This window comes from Homo sapiens, chromosome 19 (genome assembly GCF_000001405.40).
Source record: "Homo sapiens chromosome 19, GRCh38.p14 Primary Assembly".
In the NCBI taxonomy this organism is placed as follows: Eukaryota; Metazoa; Chordata; class Mammalia; order Primates; family Hominidae; genus Homo; species Homo sapiens.
This window is the reverse complement of record NC_000019.10, coordinates 54,214,152-54,216,277: the sequence shown is the minus strand read 5'-3', so window position 1 is coordinate 54,216,277 and position 2,126 is coordinate 54,214,152.

Below are 2,126 nucleotides of genomic sequence, written 5' to 3'. Positions count from 1 at the left end.
TGCAGTGGCTCACACCTGTAATCCCAATACTTTGGGAGGGCAAGTGGGGAGGATAGCTTGAGCTCAGGAGTTCGAGTCAGTCAGATCAGCATTGTGAGGCCCCATCTCTACAAAAAATAAAACCAGTCCGGCGTGGTGGCACACACCTGTAGTCCCAGCTACTTGAGAGGCTGAGGTGGGAGGATCACTTGGGTACAGGAGGTCGAGGCTGCAATGAGCCGAGATCGCACCACAGCACTTCAGCCTGGACGAGACCCTGTCTCAAAAAAACAAAACAACTAACAAGCCGGTGAAATTATCTGTTGATTAGTGTTTGCATAATACATTTTTCATCCTTCTGCTTTTTTAATGTGATAAAATATAAACAACAGGCCAGGCACGGGGGTTCATGCCTGTAATCCCAGCACTTTGGGAGGCCAAGGCGGGTGGATCACAAGGTCAGGAGTTCAAGACTAGCCTGGCCAAGATGGTGAAACCCCATCTCTACTAAAAATACAAAAACTGGCCAGGTGTGGTGGCAGGCACCTGTAATCCCAGCTACTAGGGAGGCTGAGGCAGAGAACTGCTTGAACCCAGGAGGCAGTGGTTGCAGTGAACCGAGATCACACCACTGCACTACAGCCTGGGCAACAGAGCAAGACTCTGTCTCAAAAAAAAAAAATTCCAATCTTGTAATCTCTTTTTGATCACTTATATTTAATGTAATCACTGATGACATTACAACCGTATGTCACTTAATGACAGGGATATGTTCTGAGAAAGCCATCATTAAAAAATTTTGGCCAGGCGTGGTGGCTCACGCCTGTAATCCCAGAACTTTGGGAGGCCAAGATGGGTGGATCACCAGAGGTCGGGAATTCGAGACCAGCCTGCTCAACATGGTGAAACCCTGTCTCTACTAAAAATACAAAAATTAGCCGGGCATCGTGGTGCATGCCTGTAATCCCAGCTACTTGGGAAGCTGAGGCAGGAGAATCGCTTGAACCTGGGAGGCGGAGGTTGCAGTGAGCCAAAATCGTGCCATTTCACTCCAGCCTGGGAGACAGAATGAGACTCCATCTCAAAAAAAAGAAAAAAAAAAATTCACCGTCGTGTGAACATCATAGAGTCTACTTACACAAACCTACGTGGTATAACCTACTACATACATAGGCTATACCATCACATATGAAATGTGTAGTGGAGCGAAACATCGTTATGCGGTGCATGACTGTGTTCAGGTGTGCCTTTTTGTTTGTCTCCTCTGCTGTGTGTTGTTTCCCCTTTCCTGCCTACTCTAGGTTTTTAGAAATATTTTGATTTGTTAAAAACTTATGATTCCCCCCTCGCCCGGCCAGCCGCCCCGTCCGGGAGGGAGGTGGGGGGGTCAGCCCCCCGCCAGGCCAGCCGCCCCATCCGGGAGGTGAGGGGCGCCTCTGCCCGGCCGCCCCTACTGGGAAGTGAGGAGCCCCTCTGCCCGGCCGCCACCCCGTCTGGGAGGTGTACCCAACAGCTCATTGAGAACGGGCCATGATGACAATGGCGGTTTTGTGGAATAGAAAGGGGGGAAAGGTGGGGAAAAGATTGAGAAATCGGATGGTTGCGGTGTCTGTGTAGAAAGAGGTAGACATGGGAGACTTTTCATTTTGTTCTGTACTAAGAAAAATTCTTCTGCCTTGGGATCCTGTTGATCTGTGACCTTACCCCCAACCCTGTGCTCTCTGAAACATGTGCTGTGTCCACTCAGGGTTAAATGGATTAAGGGCGGTGCAAGATGTGCTTTGTTGAACAGATGCTTGAAGGCAGCATGCTCGTTAAGAGTCATCACCACTCCCTAATCTCAAGTACCCAGTGACACAAACACTGCGGAAGGCTGCAGGGTCCTCTGCCTAGGAAAACCAGAGACCTTTGTTCACTTGTTTATCTGCTGACCTTCCCTCCACCGTTGTCCTATGACCCTGCCAAATCCCCCTCTGCGAGAAACACCCAAGAATGATCAATAAAAAAAAAAAAAAAAAACTTATGATTCCTTAACTTTTCTATTTAATATTTTTGGACCATGGTTGACCACCAGGTAACTGAAAACACAGAAAGAAAATTACAGATAAAGGGGGACTACTGTATTAGAGTTTTTTAAAAATATATTT